The following is a 15311-nucleotide window of genomic DNA, read 5'->3' as shown; positions in this document are numbered from 1 at the left end:
GGGCGGATCATGAGGTCAGGAGATCGAGACCTTCCTGGCTAACACGGTGAAACCTCGTCTCTACTAAAAATACAAAAAGTTAGCTGGGTGTGGTGGCGGGTGCCTGTAGTCCCAGCTACTTGGGAGGCTGAGGCAGGAGAATGGCATGAACCTGGGAAGCGGAGATTGCGGTGAGCCGAGATCGCGCCACTGCACTCCAGCCTGGGCAACAGAGCGAGACTCCGTCTCAAAAAAAAAAACAAAAAAAACTTGACCATGAGACATCCGGTGGCCTTATGGAGGAAAGTTACTGCAGGTGAACAAGAGTTAGAGTCTTAGTTTTTCCATTTCAGGAGTCAATGCTTTTAATTTGCAAGAGCCTGGTGTGCCCCTATCAAATGCCCTGAGGGTCTCAAAGCTTCTCAGAGACGTGAAGGAGCAGGTGTGGAGCCAGTGACAGCTTCTCCCTCTCAGGAGGAAACAGAGTCTCTGGGGCTGGAGAAGCAGGAGGGGGTACGTCAGTTAGCTTTCATGGCATAGCAAGCCTTCCCAAAACCCAGGGGCCAAAGGCAGCACAACCGACAGTAATTTTTTCATTGTTCTGTGGGTTGCCCGGGGAGTTCTGGTCTCCGTGGGCTCAGCTGGGGCTGGATCATTGTGGCAGCCTCGCTCACATGTCTGGGTGGCCGCTGAGAGGCCCGGGGCTGGGTGCCAGTCTTCTATCCTCAAGAAGCCCAGCCCAGGCTTCTTCCCTGGGCAGTCAAGGAGGGCTGTAAAGCCAGGCTCTTTTCCAGTCTCTTCTTGCATCATTTGCTAGCGTCCCCTTGGCCAGGCCCAGGCTGGGGGGTAGAAGGAAGGAGCCCCTACTCTCCTGACGGGAGAAGCAGAGCACACGGTCATCTTGCAAGGGGGTGAGCATAGGGGAGTAAAGACATTTGTGACCTTTTTATTTGCAACTCACCACAGGGAGAGGAGGAGGATTTGAGTGAGACAGACCTGTGTCCTGCGAAGGCTCTATGCCCTGCCAGCGTCTTCTGGGTGGAGCTGGGGAGCAGGGATGGTAGAAGCCGGGGGATGAGTTGGGGGATCCAGAGAGATGGCTGTCTTTGTAGCATTTTCTGGAAGACAACATGGCTCAGGAGTGGCAGACAAGGCGGGGTGGAAGGGATACAGAACACCAGGGAACGGACACAGTGGGTATTACTACTGGACCCCAGTGTGGGGTGAACAAGACAGAGAGCTATCTGGGGACCTAGGCCTGGAGACAAGAGGGCCAGCAGAGAGCCCAGGAGAAACCAGGGAGGGCAAACGAAGATGCAAAATGGGACACTCCCAGGTCCCCAGGGGCAGGGGAAGCACAGGCAGGGGTCCAAAACCCGTTTGCACTGCAAGTGCTAGCTGGGTGGGTGACATTGCTGGGTGGATGACACTGTCGGGTGGGTGACACTGTCGGGGGGATGACACCACCAGGTAGATGACACTGGTGGGTGGGTGACACTGGCGGGGGGATGACACTGGTGGGTGGGATGACACTGACAAGCAAGTGACACTGGCAGGTGGGTGGCACTGGGAGGGGGTGACACTGGCAGGTGGGTGACACTGGTGGAGGGATGACACTGGCAGGGGTGACACTGGTGGGGGTGACACTGGCGAGGGTGACACTGGCGAGGGGGTGACACTGGCAGGGGGATGACACTGGCAGGAGGAGGAAACTGGTGGGGAGATGACACTGCTGGATGGGTGACACTGGTGGGGGATGACACTGCTGGGTGGGTGACACTGGCTGGGGGTGACACTGCTGAGTGGGTGACACTGGCTGGGGGTGACACTGGTGGGTGGGTGACACTGACAGGAGGGTGAAACTGGTGGGGGAATGACACTTTTGGGTGGTGACACTGGTGGGGGATGACACTGGTGGGTGGGTGTCACTGGCAAGGGGATGACACTGGTGGGGGGATGATACTGCTTGATGGGCGACACCGGTGGGTGGGTGACACTGGCGGGGGGATGACACTGCCGGGTGAGTGACATTGGCGGGGGGATGACACCTCTGGGGGAATGACACTGCTGGGTGGATGACACTGCCAGGGGGATGGATGCCGCGGGGGGATGGACACTGCTGGGTGAGGGACTCTCGATAGCCTAGAGCAGGGCTTGGCCAGGGGCATCTTTTTTTTTTTTTTTTTTAAACAATGACAAATGTTTAGATATGCTGCTGGAGATTTAAACAATTGAATAGTCCTAGTGATCTGTTTCCACAACAGAGGACGTCATTCTGAGATGTTTTCTATCAGAGACAAAGTCAGCTTCTCTGTCTTTTGTGTGAATCTTTTACTAATTTGAGGAGACAAACATTTTAAATAACACTTTGATATGGAATTCACATTCCTTAAAATTTACCTTTTACAAATAAACAATTCAGTGGGTTTTTTTTTTGTGGCAGTCACCAATATCCAATCCCATAACATGTCACCCGCAATAAGAAACCACAACCATGCCCCATGGCCTATCCCCATGCCCTTGCACCCACCAATCTACTTTCTGTCTGCAGAGATGCACTATTCTGGACCTTTCGTATAGATGGAATTTGTCTTGCAGGCGGTGCGGCCCCATGCCTGGCTTCCTTCACCACCCATAGGGGTTTCAGGGCTCCCGACGCTGTGCTGCAACACTTCATTCCTTGATTCTTTTTTTTTTTTTTTTTTTGAGATGGAGTTTCGCTCTTGTTGTCCAGGCTGGAATGCAATGGCGCAATCTCAGCTCGCCACAACCTCTGCCTCCCAGATTCAAGTGATTCTTCTGCCTCAGCCTCCTGAGTAACTGGGATTAGAGGCATGCGCCACCACGCCCAGCTAATTTTGTATTTTTAGTAGAGATGGGGTTTCTCCACATTGGTCAGGCTGGTCTTGAACTCCCGACCTTAGGCGATCTCCCAGCCTTGGCCTCCCATAGTGCTGGGATTACAGGCATAAGCCACCATGCCCGGCCGATTCTTTTATGGTTGAGTAATATTTCACCCCGTGGATGTGCCATGTTGCATTCACCCCTTCAGCAGTTGATGGACATTTGAGTGGTTTCTACTGTTTCCACTTTTATGTCTTTACAAGTGTTTTAACAAATCTTTGTCTAAGCGTTTACCCTTAATGCTTCAATTTTGAAACACTAGAAAATCTTATTATCTGTATACCATATACTTTGTAAAATTTGCCTTTTTCTACAAGTTCCTCACGTAATGCAAATTCACAGCTTCTTGCAGAACTATTGCTACAGGGCCATCAGCATGTGACACTAGGAGACTGTGCCATGTCATCCTTATGTGGGTCTGGGTCACAGCCGCCCATCTGCTGTGCTCCCTGGCTGCCTCTTTTGTGAAAAAGAAGGTGAGGAGGACCAGCGAGGAGACACGCCCACTCCAGGGGAACACCTCCTCCCACAGGTGGGTACTTTGTCGGGGGAGCCATATTCACATTTCTGCATACTTAAGGCAAAAGAATATTAATGCCCATTTTACAGATGGGAAAACTGAGACAAAGACAAGTCCAGAGGTAGCAAGAGGCTGAGCTGAGATGCACCTCAGGATTGCCCTGGAGGTGTCCCCTGCTCAAGGCTGCCTCCTGCACAGCCCAACAGCCTCTAGCAGGCAGGGCCATGAAGGGGACCCTCAGCCCCGGCCTCGGCCTCGGCCTCGAAGGAGAATCAGCCCATTAGCATTCCTCTCCTCTCCTCCACCTGCCCTAAGAGAGGAAACCTCTACTTAATCTTCAAAGAGACAACTTAACTACAGGTGACATAGAGTGTTTAGCTTATAAAGCGAAACTTAATGGAAGTGGAGTCTTCCCCTCGGGTACTGGAATCCACTTTCCCAATGCACTGCCCTATCCAAACCGCCAGGGCAGGCAGTGAGGCAGCTCTAGGGGATGAGGGCTGGGCATGTGTATAAAATCCCTGATCCCCTCCCAGAGCCTTGGGAAGCTGAGAGTAGATGTGTGCCGATCACCACCACCTGAGGGTTCCAGGACACAGACATCGTCATCCCTGTTCTACAGAGGAGGAAATGGAGCCTCCTATGCAAATTACATTCTTCATCACACCATGGCTCTTGAAGGGCGGAGGTCTCACTGGGCTCCCTGTGTCTCATGTCCTGCACAAGGCCTGGCTCTGAGGAGGGGCTGCACAACCTTCCTGCACAAGAATAAAGGCGGGACCGAAGCAGTGACTGTGTGAGAGTCCATGGAATGCCCAGGACCAGCACTCAGGGCCTTTGTCTTCTTGTCCAAGCACCAGGGAGCAGATAGGAGCAGCTTCGGCAAGACCCGGCTCAGTTGAATGAAGTCGAGTGTCTTAGGTCATGAACAGTACAGAAAGAGCTGTCCCTCTTCAGATTCGAGCGCTGCGGGGAGGGAGGGTGTGGTGAGGGTCATCACCTCCTGCTCCACTCCCCTGGCCAGAGCGGACTGGGCAGGGCAGCCCTGCGGAGGGGCCACTGGACAGCAGAGGTCGAGAGCAGCCTCCCTGGGGTTTGTCTGTTCCACTCTCCGGTTTTGTCAAAGATCATTTGAAAACTGGTCACAACAATATTTCCTGCTTCTTCTCAGCAGCAGTCAAGCACCCTATCCATGATGTTATATATAATAAATGGCTTTTGATTTACTGGCAGGAAAAACAATATCACTACCGATGAAATCTTATGCTGTGTTCTTACCAGTTAACAAGGGCAGGGTTGCTTGATGAAGAATCAAGTGGTTACATGTGTTCATTCACCAAAAGTTTATTGAAAAACTGCTTGGGTTATGATCGGCCCAGGGCTAAGCACACTGAGGTGGCTGGGACACCGTCTTTGATCTCTGGGAGCTCACAGTCTAGTTCCACTCTTTACTCTGGCCACTGGGTAGTTTATGGCTGCAATCTGTAACCCTTATAATTGAAATATTTGCCCCTCTTCCTTTCGTCAGTTCTGTTCTTCTATTTTAATTTTATTCTATGCATATCCTTTATTATCAGCTGTTGTAATATACTTTTATATGGGGATAAAAAAGGAAAAGATACAGATGGCAGATTAAGCATACACCCCTCCCCCACCTCCTCCTCCTGCTCCAGATCCCTGGAAATGACAGAAAGTATCTTTCTGTCTCTTTGCCTCTCTCATTCTCTCCCGCTGCCATGAATCCAGAATAGCTCTAGAAAACAATGACCAAATAAGTGCCATAAACAAGGCAGAGATGCTGAGGAGTTCCTGAGAGTTTGAACACAGAGGGACTGGCTGGATGAAGAATCCCAGGTGGGAGCTGCCCACGGTGTTCTAAAGGCAAGGCTCACAGACAAGGAGCAGAAGGCTTGGGGACAGTTGCTCAGGTGTCTGGGTGCAGAGCTGGCGTCTGAGTAATTGTCAGCCTCCCTCTTCCCTGACACCTGTCAACAGGGAGGTGGGAGGATGTCTGCCTCCAGGCTGGAGCAGCGGAGTGGCCGTTGAATAATCCTCTGGTGATGGGGGATCTGAGAGAAACGGGGGTTCCAGGGGGGACCCCGGCCCCACCCCCACCGCCACAGTAAACAGAGGCAACCGGGGAAACCATAATCTCATCTACAAACATGAGCATCCATCCCAAGTCAGCAAACCGAAATACAGCATTCAATAACTAGGAACTAACACCCAGGGAGATGCAGCTAGCAGCACAAAGAGAAAAGTAGAATTAACATCTTCAGAGGGGCAGGTTTAAGACAGTAACAGTGTGGAAAAGAGCCAGATACAGGTCTCTGGAATAAAGCCGTTGAAGTCAGGGTTTAGTGGCAGGCTGAGCAGCGAGTCGCCACCTCTGAAGGTGGCTTGGTGAATGTGACCATGGAATGAGGAACTCTCCTGGTGCAGTACTGAAGAGGTGGAGAGGATGAGAGAAAGGTGCTGTACAAGCTCACAGTTTCTAAGTGCACAGGTGGGCATTCTATACAGGGTGTGTGGAGGGGTTCAGATCCATAACTAAGGCACAGCTTGTCAGACAAAGGGTCACAGTGAGAACACATTAGAGGAAGGTGCATTGCTCAGAGATCCGGGACTAGGAGCTGCTGACGTTATCTCAATGTGATTTGGGTTGTCTCCCTTCGGGGAGGGGAATGTATTTTGGATGTACGTGGGATGAAAGCATAATTTAAGCAAGGAAGAGTTTTGAGATTTTATGCATGGTGAGAGCGTGTGTTTCTCTTCTGAGTAGCCAAGGGGTGGATTGTAGTCGGCTGTTGCTGCTATGTTGTGTGCTCTCAGAATGCCTGCCACCTCCCTTTTCCAGTGATAATAGCACCCCTTGCCTTAGGGGAACTCTTGCCCCATTCCATGTGGTCCTGTTGAACCTACCAATTAAGGTCTGCCCTCCTTCCACTGGCCACACCACACACACACACACACACACACACACACACACACACACACACACACGGAGTCACCAGGATAGCCACACGGTCCTGGCTGGACTACTAATGACATCCTATTTGGCTGGGGCAGTTGGAATGTGACCCAAGGCAGACCACCAATCCTCTCTGAAAATATTCTTTAAATGTGGTGAGGGAGAAACACTGTTTCTGCTGGGATTGTATGTCTGGGGTTGCCAGTGGCTGTTTCCTCTGATGCTTATAAAATTTCTGCCTGAAAAATGGAGCCAGACATAGACAGGCAGAGATAAAAACAAAAATGAAAATTAAAAAGCTGTTTTGGCATCACTGGAGGCCCTCAAGCTAGCTGTGCTTAAGATGGAAATGTCCACAGCCTGTCTTGTTAAGGAGCTAACCCACCTCTCACCAAACCCAAACACAAAACCCCAAACTTTCTTGCTTTTAACCATTTTCAGTTGGGTGCCTTTGTGACCAGTATCATCTTGACTTATATAGGATTTTTGAAAATAGTGTTGTATTTGTATATGAATATCATATCTGAATATCTTTCTGAAGTCTCTTCTTGAATTTTCCAGATAGATGTTTACATTAGCTGCAAAGACTTATAGTTTTATCCTTTTCTTTCCAATATTTACCCTTCGTCTCATTTTCCTCTTTTTTTGCCTCATCTATAATCCCTAGGATAATGTTGAATGGAATGGTAATAGTGAGCATATTTGATTTGTTTCTATTTTTTCACTCATTCACCATTGATTTAACATTAGCTGTGTGGCAGAGGTTGCTCTAGGTCCTGGAAATGCAGATGTGAACAAAATGGACAAAGTCTATCAGGAAGCTTTGAGGAGAAACAAGGATGGGGAGAGTGAAAGTGTATAGTGGGGAAACTGGATGCAGCTGTACCCTGGAGAATATGAGGTTTTCCTGGAAGAAATCATTCCAATGATACCCTGTGTCTTTTATAGTGAAATCTGATCTTTCCTATTTGGTTTCTGATAAATACTCTATCAAAGGTAAGAAAGTTTCTTTTAATATTCTGTTTACTGAAAGCTTTTTTAAAAAATCAGCAATGGATGTTTGATTTTATCAAATTCCTTTTTACAGCCATGAACATAGTTCAAGCCCTCCTTTTTAGCCTGTTAATGTGAACGACACCAACAGCTCTGCTAATATTGAACCAGCCTTGCATTCCTATATTTCTGTGTTATATTAGCATATTATTCTGTTACTACTACTGGATTCATTCTGCTAATATTTTATTCAGGAGTTTTGCACCTTTTTATAAGTAAAAATTAGTTTAGTATGTATGTTTTGTTAAGTTCTATGAAATGAACTTATAAAAGTTTCCTCCATCTCTATACTCTGAACTAGTTTAGGTTACATAGGTGTAATCTGGATGTCAGCTGAGATGTCTTGTCCTTGGAGAGGTCCGGTTCTCTCCCAGCTTCTCTGGGTATTTTGGAGGAGGTGTACATTTTCCCACTTCCCTCTTAGCTCTGAGCTTCGGTTGTAACTGAGGTGGTTCCATTTTTGGATTGTCTTTCTGAGCCATATGGGCTGTTTCTGTTCTGCCTTCAATTGCTCCTAATGTATGACACATTCTCTTTTCCTTACACCAGGCAGGTGGGTGTCTTGCAAAACTGACTGATGATTTAAGATTGAGGAGGGCTATGTCACAGTATCTCCCAGCAGACAGCCCCAAGGTAAACAGAAGACATCCCCTGTCCTCAAGGCTCCTTTGGCCTCCCCAGGAAGGGCCCCAGACACTCACACACTCTCTTTCCTCCAAGGAATGGCCAGGTCTCTGTTTTCTGGGACCCTCAGCTTTTGGTTCCCCCAACTTCATTCCGCCACTCAGGCAGACTGATTTCACTACCCTCTGTTCTCAGCACAGCTCCACTTTTGCATGGCCAGAGACCCATCACATCCGTGTTGTGCCAAACCAGGGCCACCTCCTCCTTTTACAATTTTCTCTATCAAAGGGACAGCACACAAAAATCCCAATTTCTCTGCTGTTTGGGATTGTTTCATAAAACTCAGAAAGCAGAGGTGGCTATCGTCACTTTTGATTTTAAATCCTTCCCCCTCTCCATCAGACGTGTCATCAGCCAGTGTTTTTCGGTTTCTCTGACTCCTGGGCCAGCTCACTCCATCGATAAAGTCAGAGGCTGGGGCTGGCATGACAGAGACCAACATGGGGCCAGTCTGTTTTTTGGTTTCTAGCTTGTCCCAGTGCCCCACACTTCACATCCACCTCTTCATTACTGAGCATTTGGGTAGCTTCTCGTTTTTGGTTTTCACAAATAATGCTGCTATGAATCTTCTCATACCCTTCTTTTTATGAATGTATGTATGCCATTCAATTGAGTGTGGGCCTAGGAGTGGAAGTGCTTGGTCATAGGGTTGGCATATGTTAGCTTTAATAGATGCTGCAAATCTCTCTTCCATGGAGATTGTACCAATGTACTCCCCCACCAGCAGCCTAAGAGTGTTCCAGGATTTCCAGCACATGGCCTTTTTCTGTCATTTTCATTATAATCATTCTGAAGGTGTGCAGCAGTAGCTCATTGGTGTTTTAATTTGCAATCCTCTGATGATCATTGAAGTCAGGCACCCTCTCCTGCATTTACTGGCTATTGGGCTATCCTGTTTCATGAAGGTCCAAATCCTGCTCACTTTTCTATTGAGTGGTATCTTTGTTTATTGCTTTGTAGGAAATGTTTCTATTCTGGTTATGAGTCCTTTGATAGATGTACATGTTCTGAATATCCTCTCCCACTCCATGGCTTGCATTTTCAGTCTCCTGATGGTGCCTTCTGATGGATGGAAAGTCTTCACTTCAATGTAGTCCAACTTGCCAATTATATTTTTTATGGCTGAAGGTTTTCTGTATATCTTTCAAGCCATCTTTGCTCACCCCAAGGTAATATGGTTATACTCCTAAGCTTCTTTTTCCCAAGATATTTGCATGATGCATTCATTTAGGTCTCTGTTCAAATGTTACCTCCTCACAGAGATCTTCCCAGACCATCCCATCTAAACCAGTGTTCCACCATCACATGCCACCCCTCATTCCATTTTAATCTTCTTCAATGAACTGATCATTACTTGACTTTATATTATATATTGAGTTATTATTTATTTGTTAGTGTATTGCCAGTCCTCTACACTAAATGTCAGCTCCATAAGGGCAGGAATTTTTCATTGTTGTTCACTGTTTTAACCCCAGTGCCTAGAACAGTGTGTGGCACACATAGTAGCTTGCTATAGATTTATTAAATGAATACATAAATAACTGCATTTAGTCCTCACCACTGCCCTGTGAGGAAGGGCTTATTTTGTTGTCCCTTTGAGTCTGGGGATATTCCTCTTTAAAATCTCTGCAAAATCCTATCAGCCATTCATACTTTAGTATAAACAAATATTTTTACTCTGCTTTTCCTTGATAACATTTTGCAGGTGAGGACACTGAAGCTCAGAAAATCCATCATCCATCTCAACAATGTTTTTGGAGCCTGTTTTTTATTTTTATTTTCTGTACCAGGCTCTGGGTTTGGGTCTGGAGGTACAAAGATTAGTAAAACAGTGGTTCTTGAAGCCATTTTGTGGACAAGTGGCAGAGTGAAGCATGGAACTCAAGATCATCTGACTGCAAAGCCCACATTCTGTCTGCTGAGATGTGCAGGGGACTGAAAGAGGGACTTTTCCGGGTGGGAGAATCTTGAGCATGTTTGCAGGCTGTGCGGCAGGGCCCACAGGAGAGAAGGATTAAAGGTAAAGAAAGGCTGGGGCCTCAGGAGGCAGCCAACTCCTTCTCCTGATGCCCCCTGAGTCCTCCTTTACCTCCAGGCCTTACAAGGCCTGTGGTTTCAATTGTGTCCAGTCTGATCCCAACTTCCGGAAGGGACCCCCCAGCAAGTCTCTGTCCCTGGCTCCATAATCATCCCTTCCCATCAACCTTTCCCTAATAAAATTCCCTTTCCTGCTTGAGGCTCTCCTCTCAGAAAGGATGGGTACAGACTCATTTATACTAAAGTATAAATGACTAATTAGACAATGTTGTGTTGTTCCTAGTAGGGTTTTGCTTTTCCCAGAAGGGATTTGAAATAGGCAGTCCTGTCACTGGACGGATGACTCCATAATTGTGTAAATTCTGGCCGGATAAGGTACTTGGGGAACTGAGAAAACTATCCACATTTAAAATACCATGAAGGCAGCAACTCTTTTGCTATACCTGATTATAACCAGTCTCCATATTAGCATAACATTTTCCAGTTTGCAAAGTCCTTTCATCTCCACCAGGTGGGTCTGAGGAAAGGAGTCTCAGGGGAGTTCACAGTCTTCTGGAAGGGGTGGGGGTGAGGCTTGAGCCACTTTCTGCCTCTTCTGCCCATGTCCTTTCCACGCTGTCTGGAGCTTGGGCAAGGAGAGCCTAAGCAGCTGCACTCTGTGCCTTCTCTTAGAGGCTCTGGCTCCCAAGCACTCGATGATTAATGCTGATGAGCCCCGTTAGCCATGTAAGAGGGAGGGAGTTCAGCCCCCCTTGCTATCCGGCCTGCAATGGCACCTTTCGTACTTGTGAGTTGGGCCCGGATTCTTTGGCCCAGATCACTGGATTCTGGGATGACAAGGGGCAGGGAAGAAGGGACAGCAGATGTGGAGGCTTGTCTGTGGGAAGCCAGGGCTAGCCTGCTGCATTTGAATGGGGGGCAGTTTTTCAGACTAGCTCCCTGGCCCCTGAGAGCCTGTCCTGAGAAGCTTCGAGCCCTGGACCTCATTTTTGGTCTGCATCCTGTGGCCTTGGGAGACCCTGCTTCTGCAGGGCCTCAGTCCCCAATCTGTGCGGTGCGTGTTTGGGAGACCAGTGCTCTCTAAGGCCCCTGAGCAGCCTGAAAACCTCCAGTGCTTGCAGCCAGGGTGAGCATGCATCTCCTCCAGGTGGGTCCGGCTGGACACCAGGAGCCTGGTCACCTGGGGGTAAGGGCTTGGGATGGGAGTGGTGTGGCAAACAGTGCAGAGAGATCTCAGGGTCTGAGAGTCAGGTGGGTCTGGGCTCAGGCGCCTGCTGGGACTCATGTGAGCTGAGTTACCCTGAGCATGCCACTTAACCTCTCTGATTCTGCATCTGTAAAAGGCAACTAACGGTGCCCTCTAATGAGGATGGCAGGTGCTTACCAGAATAGGAGGATCTGGAATGGGTCCCAGTTTGAGAGGCAGGGATGTTTTTCAAATAAAAATCATTGTTTTTTTTTTTTTTTTTTTTTTTGAGACAGAGTCTCGCTCTGTCACCCAGGCTGGAGTGCAGTGGTGCTATCTTGGCTTACTGCAACCTCCAGCTTCCAGGTTCAAGTGATTCTCTCAGCCTCCTGAGTAGCTTGGATTACAGGCGTGTGTCATAATGCCCGGCTAATTTTTCGTATTTCTAGTAGAGATGGGGTTTCACCATGTTGGCCAGGCTGGTCTTAAACTCCTGACCTCAGGTGATCTGCATGCCTTGGCCTCCCAAAGTGCTGGGGTTACAAGCGTGAACCATTGCACTCAGCCATAAAAATCTGTTTCTGTTGCTTGCCTGCTTTAAGACTCTCTTGGGGTTTCTCAGTGCCCCTAGCTCCCTGACTTGGCCCACAGGCTGCTTGTGTCCCCCCACCCCTTGCAGCCCCAGCTCCAGCCTGGGCGACAGAGTGAGACTCTGTCTCAAAAAAAAAAAAAAAAAAAAAAAAAAAAAAAACCACTGATTTTTATTTAAAAAACATCCCTACCTCTCAAACTGGGACCCATTCCAGATCCCCCAATTCTGGTAACTCTCTGCTCCGGCCCAAGCAGCCTCCTTTTGGAATTTATCTCATTTAAGAGCTTCTCCTCCTTCTCTCTCCTTGGCCAACTTTTGTCTGTCTTTCAGTACCCAAGTCAAAGAGATTTCCTCAAAGAGGTCTTTTCCCAGTTGAAATGAATCCCCCTGTTACAATTTCTCAGAGGGCCATTGTGTCGGAACAGCCATGACAGAGCTAGAGAAAGATATCTTTCTCCCTCTTTTGTAAGTGAGGTCTGGAGGTCAACAGTGCCAGACTCCCACGGCACCTCCGTTAGCCTCAGGAACCCAGGCTCCTCTCTTGTTCCATGCCTCTCAACATGTGGCATACCCCTCATAGACCCAGAAGGCTGCTCCAGCTCTGGCCATTGCGTCTCCCTTCCAATGGGAAGGAGGGAGGACGAGGAAGGAGGACACTCACCTCTCCAATCATAAGATACTTCTAAGGAAGTATAGTCTGTTTGTGTCCCTCCAAAATTTATATATTGGAGCCTAATACCCAGTGTAATAGTGTAAATAGGTGGTGTGTTTAGGGAGTGATTAAGTTATGAGGGTGGGACCCTCACAAATGGAATTAGTGCCCTTATAAAAGAGGCCTGAAGGAGCCTGTCCACCCTTTCCACCATGTGGGGACATTTAGTAGGCTCCATCCACAAGGAACAGGCCCTCACCAGACATCAAATTGGTGCCTTGATCTTGAACTTTCTAGCCTCTACAACTGTGAGCAATACATTTCTTGTGTTTGTAAATTACCCAGTCTAAGTCATTTTGTTATAGCAGCCTGGTCAGACTAAGACAGAAGTTACACATTTACTTCTGCCCAAATTCCATTGGCAGGAACTCTCTTGTGGCCACATCCAGTTGCAGAAGAGGCTGGGAAGTGTGCACCATGGCTGTACCCAGCTGAAAAGGAGGCGAGAATAGATATTGGGAGGCGAGTGTGTGTGCCGAGACCCTGCTTCTTTCCTGCAGGGTCTGTAGTCATATGTTCATGTAGCACTGGCCTGGGTATTTCATATCTCTCCCTGACAAAGTCAGGGCCTGGAGAGCAGGGAGCCCCCACCTGCTTACAGGGGTCCCCTGTACCTTGCACAGTATCTGGGATACAGTCAGTAGAAGCTCAGGAAATATTTGCTAAACGGGTAGATAAAACTAGTCCTGGACTCCTCCCTTTGCTCTCCTCTGATCAAACCTTTAGGATAGAGCCCCTTCTTTCGCATTCCCTACCTTTTATTCTCTCTGGAGAAGACCTCTGGGGCTTTCCCTCCAGGGGCTTCATGTTTCCAGCTGCTCAGTGATTGGGCCTGGATGTTCAGACCCCTCTCCCTCCCAACGGCTGTGCAGGGATTATATCACGGGGTTTGATGTGCAGATGCTGGGGGTAGGGGGAGGGCTGGTATGAATTGGAACTGACAGATTCCAGCGTGAAGATGGCCTGAGTCCCAAGAACACCAGCAGCCTAATTGGCAGTGCTGTACATCAGTGCTTCTCAAGCGCAGTTCGGCCGAGAATCACCTGGGGAACTTGTTAAAAATACAAAACTTCTGAGTCAGTAGGTTTAGGGTGATATATTTGGTTGCAAGTGACATAACGCCAACTAGCTTAGGCAAGAAGGGAATTGACTGTGAGGGCACAGGGGCTTCTCTTGGAACTGCGATGAGGCTGGGGTGCCCTGGCAGCTGGCCAAGAATCCCATTGCCTTTGGGGCTGCCCTCTTCTTTGCTCCTCCAGCTCTGGGGTGCACTGACGAGCAGCTCCCACCCCAGAGGGAGTGACCTCTCTCCCCACAGGGTTCCTGCAGGAAAAATCCCTGGGGAGGGCTCTTATTGTCCCGGCCTGGGTATGCCCCAGAAATGCTGCCAGGGGGCTAGGTTCTGTGACTGGCCATGTTGAGGCTGGGGCCAGGGTAGGGGCGCAGGGCATGTGCAGGGCCCCCTGAGGACTCTTGCTGCCTCATGCACCAGGACGGTTCTGGAGGGTGCGTTCCTGGAGCTGGGCACTGGAGCCAGCTGGTTCTCTCTCATGTAGAAACCAGGGAACCCTAGTTTTCCAAAGCCTCTAGGGACCTGGGATGCACAGCCAGACTGGGGAGTCACCCTTGCAGACCAAGAGGACAGAGCCACAGCTGAAGACCAGAGCCTGAGACAAACACCTCCAAACTGGTCTCAAGGGTTGGGTAGGAGAAGCCCCCACTGCTTGCTGCAGGCCTGGTTCTTAAAGAGCCAGGAGGGGCATGCACTAGCCAGAAGAACCTGTGGGTGGAGATGCTCCATGGCTTCCTCCTGGAGTCACCATGCAATGAGGGGGAGTCTGTGCTCTCCTCAGATTCACCGGCATAGGGGCAGCCATGGCAGGAGCCTGGGCACTAGCTGGGGACACAGCAGGTCCTGGGGGCCCTGGGGCCTGGGCCAGAGGGGCAGGACACCAGATCCCACTCCTCCCTGTCTTCTCAGTGGGTCTGCAGCACACCTATCGGAGTCCCTCGGGATGCTTCTTAAAATGCACACTCACTGGCCCTAAGGAATCAGACTCTGCAGGGCTGGGCCCCAGGAAACTGCTTTTTAATTGAGCTCCTCAGGGTGGCAGTCACAATCCCCACCACCTGCCCAGGACCATTTGTGAACCATGGTCTTTGACTACCCTCCCCGCCTTCACAGTGCCTGGTCCTGAGCCCTGAGCGCTGGCCCTCTCTCTGCGCCTCTGTGTGTCCAAGGTGCCGGGCAGCAGGGGCAGCACCAGGGGCAGGTGTGGTGGGGAAGGAGCTGCAGCAGAACTGAGGCTCTCCCACAGCCCGGCTGAGGTCCAGGATCCTCCAGGAGCCACGGTGTCTGGGGAATGGATCCCAGTGTGCAGCATCTGCCCCCCAGGGACAGACAGTTTTGGACTAAGCTGCTCCTGCACAGCCTCTTTGAGCTGCTGGGCCCCAGCAGCCCTGGAAAGGGTGCCCCCTGTCGGTGGATCAAGCCCTGAGGCGATGGTTCACTGAGAAGAGGTAAGGGTACAAACTGGCCAACACGGCCCATCTAGCCCTGGATGTTTTATTTGGCCTGCAACGTGCTTTGAAAAATGAATTGGTTACCAATATTTAAAACTCAAATTCGGCATTAAAAATTCTTATTTCCAGCTCCTTTTGAAAACTTGGCAG

General features: G+C 49.4%; 2 long non-coding RNA genes across 2 annotated transcripts in view; both read left to right on the top strand.

Moving 5' to 3' along the window:
* The window catches only part of LINC02016 (long intergenic non-protein coding RNA 2016), a 68364-nt gene that overhangs the window by 1372 nt on the left and 51681 nt on the right, over positions 1–15311 (top strand). The window lies entirely within an intron of this gene.
* On the top strand, positions 401–4645 carry LOC105374094 (uncharacterized). Its single transcript, XR_924459.3, has 3 exons — positions 401–890; positions 3226–3415; positions 3940–4645. It is a non-coding gene; the product is annotated as an uncharacterized LOC105374094 (long non-coding RNA).

The sequence above is a fragment of the Homo sapiens genome, chromosome 3 (genome assembly GCF_000001405.40).
Source record: "Homo sapiens chromosome 3, GRCh38.p14 Primary Assembly".
NCBI classification, from domain to species: domain Eukaryota; kingdom Metazoa; phylum Chordata; class Mammalia; order Primates; family Hominidae; genus Homo; species Homo sapiens.
Note: the sequence above shows the minus strand (reverse complement) of the source record. Positions and strands in the feature narration are given on the sequence as shown.